Raw genomic sequence first — 18,534 nt, 5'->3', positions numbered from 1 at the left:
AACAGATCCCATGAAGTCAAACATCCTACATTTATTTGGATGTCTGCATGAAAAATCAATAAGGAAAGTAGATTGTAGAATTAGAACCCAGCAAAATAATAGGAGGTGTTCTGCATTTCTTAGCCTTGGAACCCACACTCGGTTGCCATGGGAAATGTGGCATTCCCCTGTCAGGGTAAAGGGTTCTATTTGCTCTACAGAATGGCTCTGTAAGGACTGGTCCCTGAAAATGCTAGAACAGAAAGGCTTGGAATTCATGCCAGTCTTCTTCAGAACTGCTTTCTCTCCACATATCCTTGACTGTCTCTAACCCTTTTCCAGCTGTTTTATAAACCTGAGGATCATGAAAGGCTTATTCTAAACTACAAAAGTGGCTATGTTTTAATTTTGCTTAAAAGCGCTCATGACCTCTTCTTTGCCTACAGAATATATTCCAAACTCCAAAGAGCAGTACTCCCTGTTTCATGTTTAGGGCTTTAAGGTCTTTAGCAACTGTTGACTAAAGTCTTCCCACTAAAACTATCTCCTTGCTCCCGTTTTTGGCTGACATGCCTTCTTATTCTCTTCTTTACCCTCATGCATCCTCTCAATTCTCTCCTTCTTAGTCTTTTTTTCTGTGTTACCTTCTGCTACTCATCCTATAATGTTTCCTATCACTAAGTCTTCATTTCAGTTTTCACTTCTTTCCATCACAACCTTTCTAGGAATATCCATGGCTTCATATGAACCTATACAATATTGACTCCAAAATGTACCTTTTTAGACCATTACTGACTTCTGAGATTAAACTGTAATATCTATTTAATGAGATATCTCTACCTTGATGGCATGCATATTCCCTCAAACTAATCAGATACAATATTGGAATAATTGTATTTCCCTCAAATCTATTATTATTCTTATATTCCTTTCTCAGTATAAAGCACCACTGCTGACCAGTCACCCCAGCTAGAAGCATGGAAGTTGTCCTGGATTCCTCACTCACACACCACATGCAATTGCCATATCCTGCAGATTCCATTCTTAGCTCTAGCCGTATTTTCCTTCCTTCGACCCATTGGTTATTTCAGGTTCAGGTCAGCATTTAGAGACACCTATACCCACGTCACTCTGCCTTCCTGGGAAGTAATTTCAATTTACTATTTTCCATGCTTCATACTTTGCAACTTTTTTTACATACACTGCTTTATTTTCCCCATCAGAGCAAACTGTGAAAAGGTACTATTATTTACATTATATGATGACAGGACTACAGATGAAAATGTTCAGTTTTGAGATTGTCAAGAACCTCATTAAGAAAGGTGAGAAATTCTTAACCCAAGTCCATTGGTTCCCAAGCCCATGCTCCTTCCCCATCACAGTGGTGTCTCCCATCTACACTCAATAAAGTAGGAGAGGACAGTAACAACTGAAAAGGAATGGAAGGAAAAATCAAAACAAGGAAAATGAAGTGACTTATCTAGGGCCACTGAGTTCATTATGAGCATGGGGGAAAGACCACATTTCTGACATCCAGATCTCTGCCCTTTTTTCCAAAAAAAAAACTCTACCTTTTCAATGTTGTCGAAGAATAAAAATCAGAGTGTGTTATTCTGAAAAATTTCTTTCCTATGTGAAATGAAAAGATATCCAGGGCAATTTGAATTAGATGCCTAAAATCCTAGCTGGCATACGAAAATCTTCCCATTTCTAATTTTCCAATTGGTGCTTTTTGTAGTACCTCTCTATTTTTATATAAAATTTCTTTTTTTATTATTATTATTGTACTTTAAGTTTTAGGGTACATGTGCACAATGTGCAGGTTAGTTACATATGTATACATGTGCCATGCTGGTATGCTGCACACATTAACTCGTCAGTTAGCATTAGGTATATCTCCGAAAGCTATCCCTCCCCCCTCCCCCCACCCCACAACAGTCCCCAGAGTGTGATGTTCCCCTTCCTGTGTCCATGTGTTCTCATTGTTCAATTCCCATCTATGAGTGAGAATATGCGGTATTTGGTTTTTTGTTCTTGCGATAGTTTACTGAGAATGATGATTTCCAATTTCATCCATGTCCCTACAAAGGACATGAACTCACTGTTTTTTTATGGCTGCATAGTATTCCATGGTGTATATGTGCCACATTTTCTTAATCCAGTCTATCATTGTTGGACATTTGGGTTGGTTCCAAGTCTTTGCTATTGTGAATAGTGCCGAAATAAACATACATGTGCATGTGTCTTTATAGCAGCATGATTTATAGTCCTTTGGGTATATACCCAGTAATGGGATGGCTGGGTCAAATGGCATGCTTCTAGTTCTAGATCCCTGAGGAATCACCACACTGACTTCCACAATGGTTGAACTAGTTTACAGTCCCACCAACAGTGTAAAAGTGTTCCTATTTCTCCACATCCTCTCCAGCACCTGTTGTTTCCTGACTTTTTGATGATTGGCATTCTAACTGGTGTGAGATGGTATCTCATTGTGGTTTTGATTTGCATTTCTCTGATGGCCAGTGATGGTGAGCATTTTTTCATGTGTTTTTTGGCTGCATAAATGTCTTCTTTTGAGAAGTGTCTGTTCATGTCCTTCACCCACTTTTTGATGGGATTGTTTGTTTTTTTCTTGTAAATTTGTTTGAGTTCATTGTAGATTCTGGATATTAGCCCTTTGTCAGATGAGTAGGTTGCGAAAATTTTCTCCCATTTTGTAGGTTTCCTGTTCACTCTGATGGTAGTTTCTTTTGCTGTGCAGAAGCTCTTTAGTTTAATTAGATCCCATTTGTCAATTTTGGCTGTTGTTGCCATTGCTTTTGGTGTTTTAGACATGAAGTCCTTGCCCATGCCTATGTCCTGAATGGTAATGCCTAGGTTTTCTTCTAGGGTTTTTATGGTTTTAGGTCTAACATTTAAGTCTTTAATCCATCTTGAATTAACTTTTGTGTAAGGTGTAAGGAAGAGATCCAGTTTCAGCTTTCTACATATGGCTAGCCAGTTTTCCCAGCACCATGTATTAAATACGGAATCCTTTCCCCATTGCTTGTTTTTCTCAGGTTTGTCAAAGATCAGATAGTTGTAGATATGCGGCTTTATTTCTGAGGGCTCTGTTCTGTTCCATTGATCTATATCTCTGTTTTGGTACCAGTACCATGCTGTTTTGGTTACTGTAGCCTTGTAGTATACTACAAGTTTGAAGTCAGGTAACGTGATGCCTCCAGCTTTGTTCTTTTGGCTTAGGATTGACTTGGTGATGAGGGCTCTTTTTTGGTTCCATATGAACTTTAAAGTAGTTTTTCCAATTCTGTGAAGAAAGTCATTGGTAGCTTGATGGGGATGGCATTGAATCTATAAATTACCTTGGGCAGTATGGCAATTTTCACAATATTGATTCTTCCTACCCATGAGCATGGAATGTTCTTCCATTTGTTTGTATCCTCTTTTATTTCATTGAGCAGTGGTTTGTAGTTCTCCTTGAAGAGGTCCTTCACATCCCTTGTAAGTGGGATTCCTAGGTATTTTATTCTCTTTGAAGCAATTGTGAATGGGAGTTCACTCATGATTTGGCTCTCTGTTTGTCTGTTATTTGTGTATAAGAATGCTTGTGATTTTTGTACATTGATAATGTATCCTGAGACTTTGCTGAAGTTGCTTATCAGCTTAAGGAGATTTTGGGCTGAGACGATGGGGTTTTCTAGATATACAATCATGTCGTCTGCAAACAGGGACAATTTGACTTCCTCTTTTCCTAATTGAATACCCTTTATTTCCTTCTCCTGCCTAATTGCCCTGGCCAGAACTTCCAACACTGTGTTGAACAGGAGTGGTGAGAGAGGGCATCCCTGTCTTGTGCCAGTTTTCAAAGGGAATGCTTCCAGTTTTTGCCCATTCAGTATGATATTGGCTGTGGGTTTGTCATAGATAGCTCTTATTATTTTGAGATACGTCCTATCAATACCTAATTTATTGAGAGTTTTTAGCATGAAGCGTTGTTGAATTTTGTCAAAGGCCTTTTCTGCATCTATTGAGATAATCCTGTGGTTTTTGTCTTTGGTTCCGTTTATATGCTGGATTACATTTATTGATTTGCGTATATTGAACCAGCCTTGCATCCCAGGGATGAAGCCCACTTGATCATGGTGGATAAGCTTTTTGATGTGCTGCTGGATTCGGTTTGCCAGTATTTTATTGAGGATTTTTGCATCAATGTTCATCAAGGATATTGGTCTAAAATTCTCTTTTTTGTTTGTGTCTCTGCCTGGCTTTGGTATCAGGATGATGCTGGCCTCATAAAATGAGTTAGGGAGGATTCCCTCTTTTTCTATTGATTGGAATAGTTTCACAAGGAATGGTACGAGTTCCTCCTTATACCTCTGGTAGAATTCGGCTGTGAATCCGTCTGGTCCTGGACTCTTTTTGGTTGGTAAGCTATTGATTATTGCCACAATTTCAGAGCCTGTTATTGGTCTATTCAGAGATTCAACTTCTTCCTGGTTTAGTCTTGGGAGGGTGTATGTGTCGAGGAATTTATCCATTTCTTCTAGATTTTCTAGTTTATTTGCGTAGAGGTGTTTGTAGTATTCTCTGATGGTAGTTTGTATTTCTGTGAGATCGGTGGTGATATCCCCTTTATCATTTTTTATTGCGTCTGTTTGATTCTTCTCTCTTTTCTTCTTTATTAGTCTTGCTAGTGGTCTATCAATTTTGTTGATCCTTTCAAAAAACCAACTCCTGGATTCATTAATTTTTTGAAGGGTTTTTTGTGTCTCTATTTCCTTCAGTTCTGCTCTGATCTTAGTTATTTCTCGCCTTATGCTAGCTTTCAAATGTGTTTGCTCTTGCTTTTCTAGTTCTTTTAATTGTGATGTTAGGGTGTCAATTTTGGATCTTTCCTGCTTTCTCTTGTGGGCATTTAGTGCTATAAATTTCCCTCTACACACTGCTTTGAATGTGTCCCAGAGATTCTGGTATGTTGTGTCTTTGTTGTCGTTGGTTTCAAAGAACATCTTTATTTCTGCCTTCATTTCGTTATGTACCCAGTAGTCATTCAGGAGCAGGTTGTTCAGTTTCCATGTAGTTGAGTGGTTTTGAGTGAGTTTCTTAATCCTGAGTTTTAGTTTGATTGCGCTGTGGTCTGAGAGACAGTTTGTTATAATTTCTGATCTTTTACATTTGCTGAGGAGAGCTTTATTTCCAAGTATGTGGTCAATTTTGGAATAGGTGTGGTGTGGTGCTGAAAAAAATGTATATTCTGTTGATTTGGGGTGGAGAGTTCTGTAGATGTCTATTAGGTCTGCTTGGTGCAGAGCTGAGTTCAATTCCTGGGTATCCTTTTTAACTTTCTGTCTCATTCATCTGTCTATTGTTGACAGTGGGGTGTTAAAGTCTCCCATTATTATTGTGTGGGAGTCTAAGTCTTTTTGTAGGTCACTCAGGACTTGCTTTATGAATCTGGGTGCTCATGTATTGGGTGCATGTACATTTTGGATAGTTAGTTCTTCTTGTTGAATTGATCCCTTTACCATTATGTAATGGCCTTCTTTGTCTCTTTTGATCTTTGTTGGTTTAAAGTCTGTTTTATCAGAGACTAGGATTGCAACCCCTGCCTTTTTTGTTTCCCATTTGCTTGGTAGATCTTCCTCCATCCTTTTATTTTGAGCCTATATGTGTCTCTGCACATGAGATGGGTTTCCTGAATACAGCACACTGATGGGTCTTGACTCTTTATCCAATTTGCCAGTCTGTGTCTTTTAATTGGAGCATTTAGTCCACTTACAGTTAAGGTTAATATTGTTATGTGTGAATTTGATCCTGTCATTATGATGTTAGCTGGTTATTTTGGTCGTTAGTTGATGCAGTTTCTTCCTAGCCTCGATGATCTTTACAATTTGGCATGATTTTTCAGTGGCTGGTAGCAGTTGTTCCTTTCCATGTTTAGTGCTTCCTTCAGGAGCTCTTTTAGGGCAGGCCTGGTGGTGACAAAATATCTCAGCATTTGCTTGTCTGTAAAGTATTTTATTTCTCCTTCACTTATGAAGCTTAGTTTGGCTGGATATGAAATTCTGGGTTGAAAATTCTTTTCTTTAAGAAAGTTGAATATTGGCCCCCACTCTATTCTGGCTTGTAGAGTTTCTGCCAAGAGATCCGCTGTTAGTCTGATGGGCTTCCCTTTGTGGGTAACCCGACCTTTCTCTCTGGCTGCCCTTAACATTTTTTCCTTCATTTCAACTTTGGTGAATCTGACAATTATGTGTCTTGGAGTTGCTCTTCTCAAGGAGTATCTTTGTGGCGTTCTCTGTATTTCCTGAATCTGAATGTTGGCCTGCCTTGCTAGATTGGGGAAGTTCTCCTGGATAATATCCTGTAGAGTGTTTTCCAGCTTGATTCCATTCTCCTCGTCACTTTCAGGTACACCAATCAGATGTAGATTTGGTCTTTTCACATAGTCCCATATTTCTTGGAGGCTTTGTTCGTTTCTTTTTATTCTTTTTTTCTCTAAACTTCCTTTGTCACTTCATTTCATTCATTTCATCTTCCATCACTGATACCCTTTCTTCCAGTTGATCACATTGGCTCCTGAGGTTTCTGCATTCTTCACGTAGTTCTCGAGCCTTGGCTTTCAGCTCCATCAGCTCCTTTAAGCACTTCTCTGTATTGGTTATTCTAGTTATACATTCGTCTAAATTTTTTTCAAAGTTTTTACCTTCTTTGTCTTTGGTTTGAATTTCCTCCTGTAGCTTGGAGTAGTTTGATGCTCTGAAGCCTTCTTCTCTCAACTTGTCAAAGTCATTCTCTGTCCAGCTTTGTTCCGTTGCTGGTGAGAAACTGCGTTCCTTTGGAGGAGGAGAGGCGCTCTGCTTTTTAGAGTTTCCAGTTTTTCTGTTCTGTTTTTTCCCCATCTTTGTGGTTTTATCTACTTTTGGTCTTTGATGATGGTGTTGTACAGATGGGTTTTTGGTGTGGATATCCTTTCTGTTTGTTAGTTTTCCTTCTAACAGACAGGACCCTCAGCTGCAGGTCTGTTGGAGTTTGCTAGAGGTCCACTCCAGACCCTGTTTGCCTGGGTACCAGCAGCGGTGGCTGCAGAACAGTGGATTTTTGTGAACCGCGAATGCTGATGTCTGATCGTTCCTCTGGAAGTTTTGTCTCAGAGGAGTATCTGGCTGTGTGAGGTGTCAGTCTGCCCCTACTGGGGGGTGCCTTCCAGTTAGGCTGCTTGGTAGTCAGGGGTCAGGGACCCACTTGAGGAGGCAGTCTGCCCGTCCTCAGATCTCCAGCTGCATCCTGGGAGAACCACTGCTCTCTTCAAAGCTGTCCGACAGGGACATTTAAGTCTGCAAAGGTTACTGCTGTCTTTTTGTTTGTCTGTGCCCTGCCCCCAGAGGTGGATCCTACAGAGGCAAGCAGGCCTCCTTGAGCTGTGGTGGGCTCTACCCAGTTCCAGTTTCCCAGCTGCTTTGTTTACCTAAGCAAGCCTGGGCAATGGCGGGCGCCCCTCCCCCTAGCCTCGCTGCCGCCTTACAGTTTAATCTCAGACTGCTGTGCTAGCAATCAGTGAGACTCTGTGGGCGTAGGACCCTCCGAGCCAGATGCGGGATATAATCTCCTGGTGCGCCGTTTTTTAAGCCCGTCGGAAAAGCGCAGTATTAGGGTGGGAGTGACCCGATTTTCCAGGTGCCATCTGTCACCCCTTTCTTTGACTAGGAAAGGAAACTCCCTGACCCCTTGTGCTTCCCAAGTGAGGCAATGCCTCGCCCTGCTTCGGCTCGCGCATGGTGCCCTGCACCCACTGTCCTGTACCCACTGTCTGGCACTCCCTAGTGAGATGAACCCGGTACTTCAGTTGGAAATGCAGAAATCACCCGTCTTCTGCGTCACTCACGCTGGGAGCTGTAGACCGGAGCTGTTCCTATTCGGCCATCTTGGCTCCACCAGCTCTATAAAATTTCTAACTAAAATTTGCTTTCCTTTTTGAAGTAGCTACATTTATGGAACTATCTAATACCTGATTTAAGCTATAATAAATTCAGTTTTTCATTTTCTTTGTGAAGAATGGTCTGTGGGGAAAGGGTTTTTTTTTTTTTGTATACATGTTCATACATTACTAAGTGCCTTATTGCTTTCTGAGATGCAGCTTTTATACTACAAAAGCCTAGAAGAATGATGTATAGCTAGCCACCCAAAACAAAATGAGTAAAGGCAGGAATATGCCCGCTGTGTTAAAACACTATATTTTGCTCCTGGTGTTTCAGGCTTTGAGGCCAGTCATAATCCATTTGAGTCAGTCCACTGGGCAAAATGCTGAGATTTCTCATTATTGCTTTAAAGCAAAGAGTTTTTCATGGAGATTAGTTCAGCATTTGAAGTGTACTCTCAGAGTCTCTCAGCTACCTAACAGTGATGAGTGGGATTTTTAGATTTTTCACTTAGTTCACTTTTAATTCTTACCTAAATTTAAAGAAATCCAGCATGGAAAGTATGGATGATGGATTAAGGTATAATTTATATAAGAAAAATGAAATAGAACTTCAGAAAAAAAATGGGTCCCAGGTTTCTGGCCTTACAAGTCAATTCGGTATGCCAAATATTTTAAAGCAATTAAAGAACAATTTAGACATTGGAAATAACACCATCAAAACTGTGGCCAGACGTTGAAAATTCCAGAAAAAATCTTGACCCTCACATATAAAAAAAAGATGAAGGAACACGATATGTTAACTGTTCTCAAATTAAAAGTGTGGATGACTTATAGAAATGCAAAGTGTAAGATTGTACTAATGATAATTTGTTTAAAGTTAAAATTGTGGGCAATTAAGAAATCAAGCATGCTGGGACAAACATGCTTGATTGGCCAGTGTTTGGGCTGCCATGTTCGTCATTTAACTGTTGTCACAGAGAAGAATATGGGTCGCAGTGGCACAGGATGGAGAAAACCAAGGGCTGAGAATTGCATCTGTCTTCGATCTCACCTTAACCACATTCTGGCTGTGCAACTTAACCTAATTCTCCTTTATAAGAAGACTCCAAATTCTCCCATGCTATTCTTTAAAGATAAGGAAAGAACTAATACCTGGTTGATAATCCTATTAGACATTCATATAAGAGAACTTTTCCTACCCTGCACATCCAGAACCAGTTATTGACTTGTTAGTCTAAAGTTTGGATTTAAACATTTCATTTATTTAAAAAACTGCCTGCATGTCTTAATTACTTCACTTTAAGTTTTAAAAATATGATTGTATAGTGGCATAATAAAATGAGTGTTTTATTGGTATTTAAAAGAAAAAAATGGTATTTCTCCCAATAAAGCATATCCAATTTATTTTTTGAGTCACCACGTCATTGCTGACTGTTGAGTGAAGCCATTTAATATAAAGTAAAAGCACATTTTGAGTATCTTTGGCTATGGAATGAAAAATTGGGGGCTCTAAATTTGATTTAATGTTTTTCTTCATACTTATATCCATCTGTTTGTCCCAACATGCTTGATTTCTTAATTGTCCACAATTTTAACTTTAAGCAAATTATCATTAGTACAATCTTACACTTTGCATTTCTATAAGTCATCCACACTTTTAATTTGAGAACAGTTAACATATTGTGTTCCTTCATCTTTTTTTTATATGTGAGGGTCAAGATTTTTTCTGGAATTTTCAACGTCTGGCCACAGTTTTGATGGTGTTATTTCCAATGTCTAAATTGTTCTTTAATTGCTTTAAAATATTTGGCATACCAAATTGACTTGTAAGGCCAGAAACCTGGGACCCATTTTTTTTCTGAAGTTCTATTTCATTTTTCTTACGTAAATTATAACTTAATCCATCATCCATACTTTCCATGCTGGATTTCTTTAAATGTAGGTAAGAATTAAAAGTGAACTAAGTGAAAAATTCTTTATTTTATAATATTTTTTGATCTTATCTCTCTCAGACCTAATTTGACAGCAATATTTTTAACTATTAATACATACTTTTTTTTAGATTTTCAAGATCAGAAAACTTACTCTTGATAGAGACAAGGCTTTTTTGTACACATTTCATTTTTGCAACATTTAATTATGTAATTATAAAAACAAATGCAATAAGAATAAACAGATTTAAGAATAATTACAATTGATTCTTTGTTAGTATGCAAATCACCTGAAAGGAATGGAAATTTATGGGACATAAACATTCTGCTTGCTGTGGACATTGGTCTGCCTGTCACTGACAGAGTGGAGAAGATTGGTTAGTCTATTAAAAGGATGCTGCTTAAGAGAGCTCAACAGCGCAACTTGTGGACTAACTATTACACTGGAGGGAGATCTGTGATGATTTGCCACAATGCACAGTCCTTATGCCTTATTATAATCAATGACTTAAATAAAAATGTAAAATTTGATGATATAAAGCTAGATGAAATAGTGAAATTCTATAATGGCCAACACATCTTAAATGCTCAATAAATACTTATTGAATTAAATTGATAACTGAATGTTAGCTTAACAAACTTAAAATCTAGATCAAAATCGGTACCATTAAATTTAACATGTGGTAACTATATTGGGTCCCAAAATCCAATGTGTAAGTACATGATAGATTTGATTTTTAATCATTTGAGGTCACAAATATATAAGAGGTTCAGTGGACTCTAAGCTTAGCAATAAAATTCAGCAAATTGTAAAAGTCCATGTTATCTTGGGCTGCTATGACAGGAGTATGGGATCCAAATGGAGAAAAGTCAGCATCTCATGGCACTCTTCCCTGATCTGAACACATCTGGAACTATGAGTTCATTTCTACATTCTGCAGTTTAAATATTAGATTGGTGCAAAAGTAATCACGGTTTTTATCATTTTTTTTAAAAAAATGGAAAAAACCACTATTACTTTTGCACCAACTTAATAGATATCAGAAGAAAAATGTAAGCACATACAAGCAAAGATAACTAAGAACCTTGAAACTATCTCATAAAGAAAGAATCAAAAGTGTTATGAATGTTTATTTGTAAGGGTTGAAGATGCAAGGAATATCTCAGTCATCCAGTGGCTACTGTGGACAGATGGGTATCACGCCAAGAGAAGGAAGAACTTTTTAATAATTATAGATGTCCACTATAGATCATATTTCCCACATGTGTAACAGGTTCATCAAGCTAATCTTGTACAAAATCAAATTCAATTATATTTTTCTATCCACACTTGCACTTTCCTTTACACACATGCACTTCTGTTAATAGAGCCGTGGTCCTTTCAGTCAATGGTGGAATTCTCCATTCATTCTTCCTCACCTCCCCCAATCCTAACACCAGAGTCTGTCTATTTTTGAAGGCTTGCTTAAAAGTCACAGAAGAGAGCACAACTCTTCCTATACCCTGGGAAAAACAGGGCCCTTTATATGTAGGATAATTTCACTTTCAGGAGGAGAAATGCCTACCCAGCCAGATCACTGGAATCAAAGTGTCTTCTCCTTAGCTCCTTCTTATTAATTCCTGAATATTCTACCTCTAAATGTATTAAATACATTCTCTTTTCTTAATTTTTACTGCATTATTCAAGTTTAGGCATTTATTAATATTCTTCACCCTGATGGTTTACTATTAGTCTCCCTGACTATAGATTTCCTCCACTTCCTTTCATTATTCAGAATAGTTTCAGGTTTACTTTTCTGAATCACTGTTATCTCCATCTTGACCCCTTTATTCCCCCCACTTAATAACCTTGGAGAGCCCACCATTGCCAACAGGTGTAAGACCAGACCTTGGCAGGGTATTCATTGTCCCTCATTGCCCATCCACAGTCAGCTTCCTGACCTTACCCCTGGCCACTCTGCTCTGGCCAAGCCAAGACACTCAAGTTTCCAGAGCACACCACATATTTTTGACCCTTCATGATCTTGGTCATGCTCTTCATGAGTCTCAAAATGTCTTGTTTTCCTTCACCATCCTTTAAAATACTTATATATTCTTCCAAACATAGCTTAGGTAGTTTGCCAATTAAATATGCCTGGGGATTTATTGAAAAATGCTATCCATGTTATTTGGACATGGGCCAAATGATTTATTTGCTTTCATCATTCTCTTTATTACCAGATATTTATTGAGTACTACAATATTGAGGAATGAAAGAGTCATCCCAAGCACCTAACACAATCCCTGGTGTATAATAAGTGCCCAATTAACATTTATTGGGTATAACTACAACATATAAGTAATTGTACAAGACACTTCATGTTAAGTGTCAATGAAACAACTGGAGGACTATCCAGTTTCATGTGGGAAGGTGATGACGTTTTAATTATGTTAAATTTGAGGTACTGATTGGATATCCAAGACATACTCTTCTTTTTAAGAATAGTGACAATTTAATGCATGCGCTATATTAAGAGAGAAGGAAAGTAGACAGAAAAAGAGAAGAAAGAAATATTAAGGTAGATTAAATAAATGATGGATACAAATATGCAAGAGAGAGATGAAGAGTTAAATATGACAAGGATAAATGCAAGTTCATTAGAAGTGGAAAAATAGGCAATATTGAATATCCATAAGAAGATATGTTAATGATGAATGTGACTTTACAAGTCACATTAAGTAACTTTATTGTTATCAGTTAATTAATAAAGTACACAAAAAACTTTTTGTGCTGTCCATTAGAATAACATAGTTTTAATATTACAACATATTGGAAAAACCACTTATCCTGCCTCTCATTGCCTCAGAGAAGGAGAAAATTTAAAAGCCATTTGTTACCACCAGCTAGGACCTTTGTGTTCCATGTGTAATAGAACAATTTCAATTCAGATGCTCAAAAATTTCTTAATTAAGCACAGCAATGGGAATACATCTTTCAGCACCATTCAAATTTCATTTTTTAGGCAACAGTTTGGAGTCTTTTACTTGGAAAAAATCAGAGAGTTCTTGGAAAGGAAACTCTATTGTGCACTTCCTCAATTTTATTTAATGACAGCATCATTTGGACAGGCAATAGGGCTTATACCTCTCTTTGAATCTTAAAAAGGCTTAGTAATATTTATCTCCACAGTTGCCCAATTTAGTACCTCAGCCAAGCTACCTAACTAGGGAATTGGTGCCACAGGTTTTCTACCAGGCGACAGGGGACTTCTTCTCCAGCATCCATGTTGTAGCATGATGCTGAGCCTCCCTCATGCTCATTCTACCCACCCACTATTCATTGTCACTTAAATCTTCATGAATGTTCATGACTTACTAATGAGGTGGTGTGGGTGGGACAGAGAAGTTCCTTTATTAAGTGATCTTCATAAAAATCATCTTCAAAAGTCACTGACGTGGAAGTTGAGCATATGTGGTAAAAATAATGGGTGGTATTTATACCAAAGAAAAAAAGAATTTGTCAGTGTTACTCAGTGGGAGTTCAGTATTTTCTAACAATGTGTTTCAGGTGCTCTATATAGACCAGTCACAGAGCTTTGATTTCAACTTTTTATAAAACAATATGGTTTGTCTCAGAGGAGCAAGCACTTTTTTCCCTTGAAAATGGGGATGAAACCTAGTTCTTGATGCTATTGCAGAATTTAAAAGCAAGAAGTCATGGGGGCCTTACAGATAGATGGAATTCAATCCATGGTATTCATCATTCAAAAAGACATTGATGAAGGGTCTTTTGTGTGCCAACCCTGAGCTGCGAATGTATAGATGAAGAAACCCAATACTTTGCTCTGAAAGCACACATGACTTTGTAGGAGAAATGGGCATGTGAATAAATCTTAGTGATTCATAGCCCTGGGTGCTATTATGGATATGTAGGAAAATGAGATGGCAGAACAGAGCAGCATGTTTTAGCTGTGATTTCCTCCCTTGGTTCTTTCTACAACAGTTCTCAGAATTCCATCTGACTGGCCTCTCTTCCTGAGGAGGTGAAAGAGACAGGAAAAGGTTACCTGTAATTTCTTAGCGATGGTAACTCTACACCACATTGTTTATGTAGCCAATAATGTGGAAACGATAGAACCTACTTGGTCCGAAGGGAAAAATGTTTGGTGTTCTTTAAAATACCAGTTGTAGTCACCATCAGGTAGCTCCAAACATCCACTACAAGCATCCCTCCTGCAAGTATAGCTTGGACATTACTATTATATTTGGGAATAACAAAAATTCATTTGTGTCCACAGGTCTTGACTCTATTTATCTTAGTTCACTGTATTTGTCTTAGAAGAGAGTGAAAGGATAATTACATTTTGGAAAAGGCTCTGTTTGTTCCAAATCTACATGCTAGGAGAAACTGGCTAACCTTGCATGTGTAATATAAAAGGAGTCAAATTCTCTGTGCACCTCAGGGTACCATTTGCATTTACTTTGTCGCTAAAACTTTAAAGAGGATATTATTGGAATAGAGTAGAATAACAAAATAATTAGTTATAAGGTAATGATAAGTGAAGTGAGATTACTGAATTTTTTTTGTTTTAATTTTGGGCTGAGCTAATGATGAGAAAGCTATCAGAAATTACAGTTACTTATTAATCTTGGTTAGTGACCATAATTGAGCTGCCTAAGAACTGTTGGTACTTTCTAGATCAGTGGAAAATAAATGGTAAAGGAAAGGATTAGACATTTTGCACAAAAGATATACAATTAGCCAATAAGTATACGGAAAAAAATGGTCATTCTCACTAATAAACAAAGAAATGCTCATTACAAATCTGATGCATCATTCTTCATCTATTAAATTGTTAGGGTGTTTTAAAAGTTATAATGTCAGTGCTTTTAAGACTGTGGGGAAACTAGTACAGATACACATTTTTAGAGGCAATAAAATGATACAAAGCTTTTGAAAAGTAATTAATAACATAAATCAAGAAACTAATAAGCATTTCCATTTTGGGAAACGCATCTGAAGAAAATTGTAAAATAAGAAAAAAGTAATTGATATCAACATGTTCATTGCAGCACTGTTTATAATATTAAAGCCGTAAACATCACCCAAATATCCAACTATCAACGGTGGTTAATTAATTATATCTTCATAGGAAGTAACGTTATGTAACTCCAAAATAATAATTATAGAGACCATATTAGAAATGCTTAAATGTTAGGAAAAGCAGAGGATATGAAGTTACATATGTTTCTGTATATATATACAACTATGTGAAATACATATGGACACGTAGAGAGTCAGTAAGATAGAATGGAAAGTACACCCACTTGGTGATAAGGTAGGCTTTAGTTTGGACTCTGGCTCCACATTTGCAAGCTGTTGATTTCTGAAAATCATTTTAAATTCTATATGTTTTGTTTTCTTGTGTATGGGAATACTTATATCTACCTTAGAGGACTCCTATAAGAACTACATTAGATAACTCGGTAAAATGTGAAAGAAGGTAATAGGAGTATAGGTGAATATTTTTAATTTCTCATTTTTATTTCCAGTAATTTTGTAATATTTTTTAATAGAAAATGTTTTATTTTATATGCTTGTAAATTTATGATATTTTTGTAATAGAAAATATATTTTAATTTGATATTTATCACTAAAGTTATACACAGAAATATACACCTTGTGGCACTGACTGTATGACTAACTGAAGTGGTCTAAATACAGTAATTATTCTTATTTGGTACTAAACATCTCAAAGTACACGCTCTGCTAAATCATAATGGTTTATTTATTTAACAAATGCTTATATAGCTTTACCATGTGAGAGCCATTGTTCTAAATACTGTATTCATTTAATTCTTATAATAACCCTGTGAGGAAAGTCCTGTTACTATCCCAGTCTTATAAGATGAGAAGCTGACATACAGAGCGATTTAAGTAATATATACAAGGTTACATTGGTATATGTGGTTGAGCCAGGCAGTCTGGCTACATAGTCCAAGTCCTGAATACTACGATGCTTTTCAACTAGTCAATTGAAAACATGATCAATGAATATCTTGGCACTGTGAGGGATACCAGGAAACACAGTCTTTAACTTGAAGAGGCACAGTCTTTAACTTGAATATGATTCTGTAGGTTTCAGCTATGGTCTCAAAATTCTGTACCCTCAACCTTAGACAAATATTATCTACGTGTCACAGGAAAACACCTCTTCCCACCTGTGGTGACCAAGGTTCTGAATGAAAGACTCTGCAGCCTGTAGTTTGATTCTCTGTGGCAATGTCAGCATTTGCCATGTTTGTGCTGAGAAATCCTAGACTCAGGTTTCTTTTATACATATATGTATATATACACTTGTTCATATATTATGTGTATATGTAAATAGTGTTTCAACCAAAATATTTAACTAATACTATAAACTAAAATTACACATTCAGTAAAGTTGGCTGTTGAATTATTATTATTGTGCCTATCTCAGATGAAAGATTCTCTTGCCATCTCTTTCTAAAGAATATTCTAAGATTCCAAGATGAATTCTTAAAAATGTGAAAAATTGTTGTAAGAATTTAAAATGACTCTAGAATCAAACAGTCTCAATGCCATTTCAGGCACAGGAAGTTACCATGTGACTCTGAGCAACTTTCTAATCCTCTCTGTATCTCAATTTCTTCATCTGTTGAATGGGACATACCTCATACATTTATGAGAAATAAGAGACATAAAAATTTAAAAACACTTAGAAAAGTGTTTCAGATCTCAATAAATGTTAGATATTATCATTTTATTTATATTACTTATCTACAAAATCAGTCTTTTCTTGTTACAGGTAATCAAAATCTAGAACTACATTAAATTTGAAGATTGATATGCAGCTGGAAGTCTCATTTTTCAAGTTTTGTGTTCATCAAATAGCTCAATTATTATTAACTAATTTTACAATAAGTGTTGCAAATTTGAACTAATAAATACATCTATACTAACTAAATATAATTTACCTGATTTACAGATTAGGTTCTGTGTAAAATTTTGTTAGAAAAAATTATTCTGCAGCTTAAAAAATACATTGCATCATAAAGAAATGTATGTTTTTATGCTCTGTGTTATCTCATTCCAAGGGCAAAAAATTACCTTTTCCAAATATGTTTGTTCATTTTAATGTTCACCTATCGTTAAAAGCTTACTTTTGAATAATACATATTAAAATCAAATTATAAAAAAATTAACTCTTATCTGGTAGAGTACTATATTTTGGTGGAGGGTTCTACCTATCACCAAATATTTAATCTCTACTGTATTTCTTTCAAGACTGGTTATTGACAATAGGACCGATTAAAATGTTCAAAAACATTTTAAATAAATGATCTGTGTTTCTTGGAGGGTTAGCATTAGGAGATATATCTAATGTTAAATGACGAGTTAATGGGTGCAGCACACCAACATGGCACATGTATACATATGTAACTAACCTGCACGTTGTGCACATGTACCCTAAAACTTAAAGTATAATAAAAAAATAAAAAAATAAAAAATAAATAAATGATGTGTGTTTCTTCTGTCTTTTCTTGCAGTCATTCCCAACATAGCACCGCAACTCGTCAGCCTTCAATGACTCTCCAACGGGCCGTCTCCCTGGAAGGGTAAGATAATAATACAGAACCTCTTAAACTGTGCAGCCTTGGAATATGAAGTCTTCCTTTCTCTCCCTGTCTCTGTCTCTCTTTCTCCTTCCCTCCCTCCCTCCCTTCCTTCTTTCCTTCCTTCCTCCCTTCCTTCCTTCTCCCCTTCCTTCCTTCTTTCCTTCCTTCCTTCCCTTCTTTCTTTGTCTTTCTTTCTTTCTTTTTTTCTGTCTTTCTTTCTCTTTCTTTTGTCCTTTTTTCTCTCTTTCTCTTTCTATCTTTCTTTCTTTCCTTCCCTACCTCCCCACTCTTCTTTCTCTGTCTCTCTCACACGCACACACTCTCTCTCTTTTTTTCTTTCAATCAGCAAATATCTAGGAAACTCACCTTATGTGCCAAGCACTGTGCTAGGTACTAGATTTAATAAGTCAAACAAGATTTCTTCTTGCCCTCCAGAGGGCTTCATTGTCTAGTACAAATGATAGAAATACAAACACACACTTGTGATACAGTGTAAGCATTACACTCTATAGGAGATATGCATAAGGGATTAATGGAGAATCCAGGAGGGATACCTAACTGTAAATGGTCATCCAAAGGGTACTAGGGAGCAGGTCATGTTGGTTCCTGAAAAGATGTAACTCTTGAGCTGAGGACTGAAGCATACATGGATATTTGCCCAACAGCACAAGTTCATAAATATTCCTCCAAGGGAAGAAAAAAAACTAACATTTACTGAGTGCTTATTGGTGCCAGGCTCTATCTATTTATCTACCAATCACCTGTTGTATTAGTCCATTTTCACGATGCTGATAAAGACATACCTGAGCCTGAGCAATTAACAAAAGAAAGAGGTTTAGTGGAGTTGCATTTCCATGTAGCTAGGGAGGCCTCACAATCATGGCAGATGGCAAAAGGCACTTCTTACATGGCAGCAAGAAAGAGAATGAGAGCCAAGGTTTTATAAGGTTTCCCCTTATAAAACCATCAGATCTCATGAGACTTATTCACTGTCATGAAAACAGTATGGGAGAAGCTGCCCCATGATTCAGTTATCTCCCACCAGGTCCCTCCCACAACACGTGGGAATTGTAGGAGTACAGT

The 18,534-nt window shown here is 37.0% G+C and overlaps 1 protein-coding gene across 52 annotated transcripts in view; it reads left to right on the top strand.

Annotated features, from left to right (window-relative positions):
* Positions 1–18,534, top strand: part of DLG2 (discs large MAGUK scaffold protein 2) — a 2,173,362-nt gene that overhangs the window by 1,736,503 nt on the left and 418,325 nt on the right. For all 52 annotated transcript variants that reach the window (NR_165353.1, NM_001351274.2, XM_017017256.3 and 49 more), the window contains one exon: positions 17,383–17,451. Coding sequence is in view for 51 of the 52 variants with exons in the window: in NM_001351274.2 (NP_001338203.1) it covers positions 17,383–17,451 (69 nt within the window). In the remaining variant the exon portion in view is untranslated. The remainder of the gene's footprint in view (positions 1–17,382; positions 17,452–18,534) is intronic.

Source organism: Homo sapiens, chromosome 11 (assembly GCF_000001405.40).
Source record: "Homo sapiens chromosome 11, GRCh38.p14 Primary Assembly".
NCBI classification, from domain to species: Eukaryota; Metazoa; Chordata; class Mammalia; order Primates; family Hominidae; genus Homo; species Homo sapiens.
The sequence above is the reverse complement of the archived record's forward strand: the minus strand, read 5'-3'. Positions and strand labels throughout refer to the sequence as shown.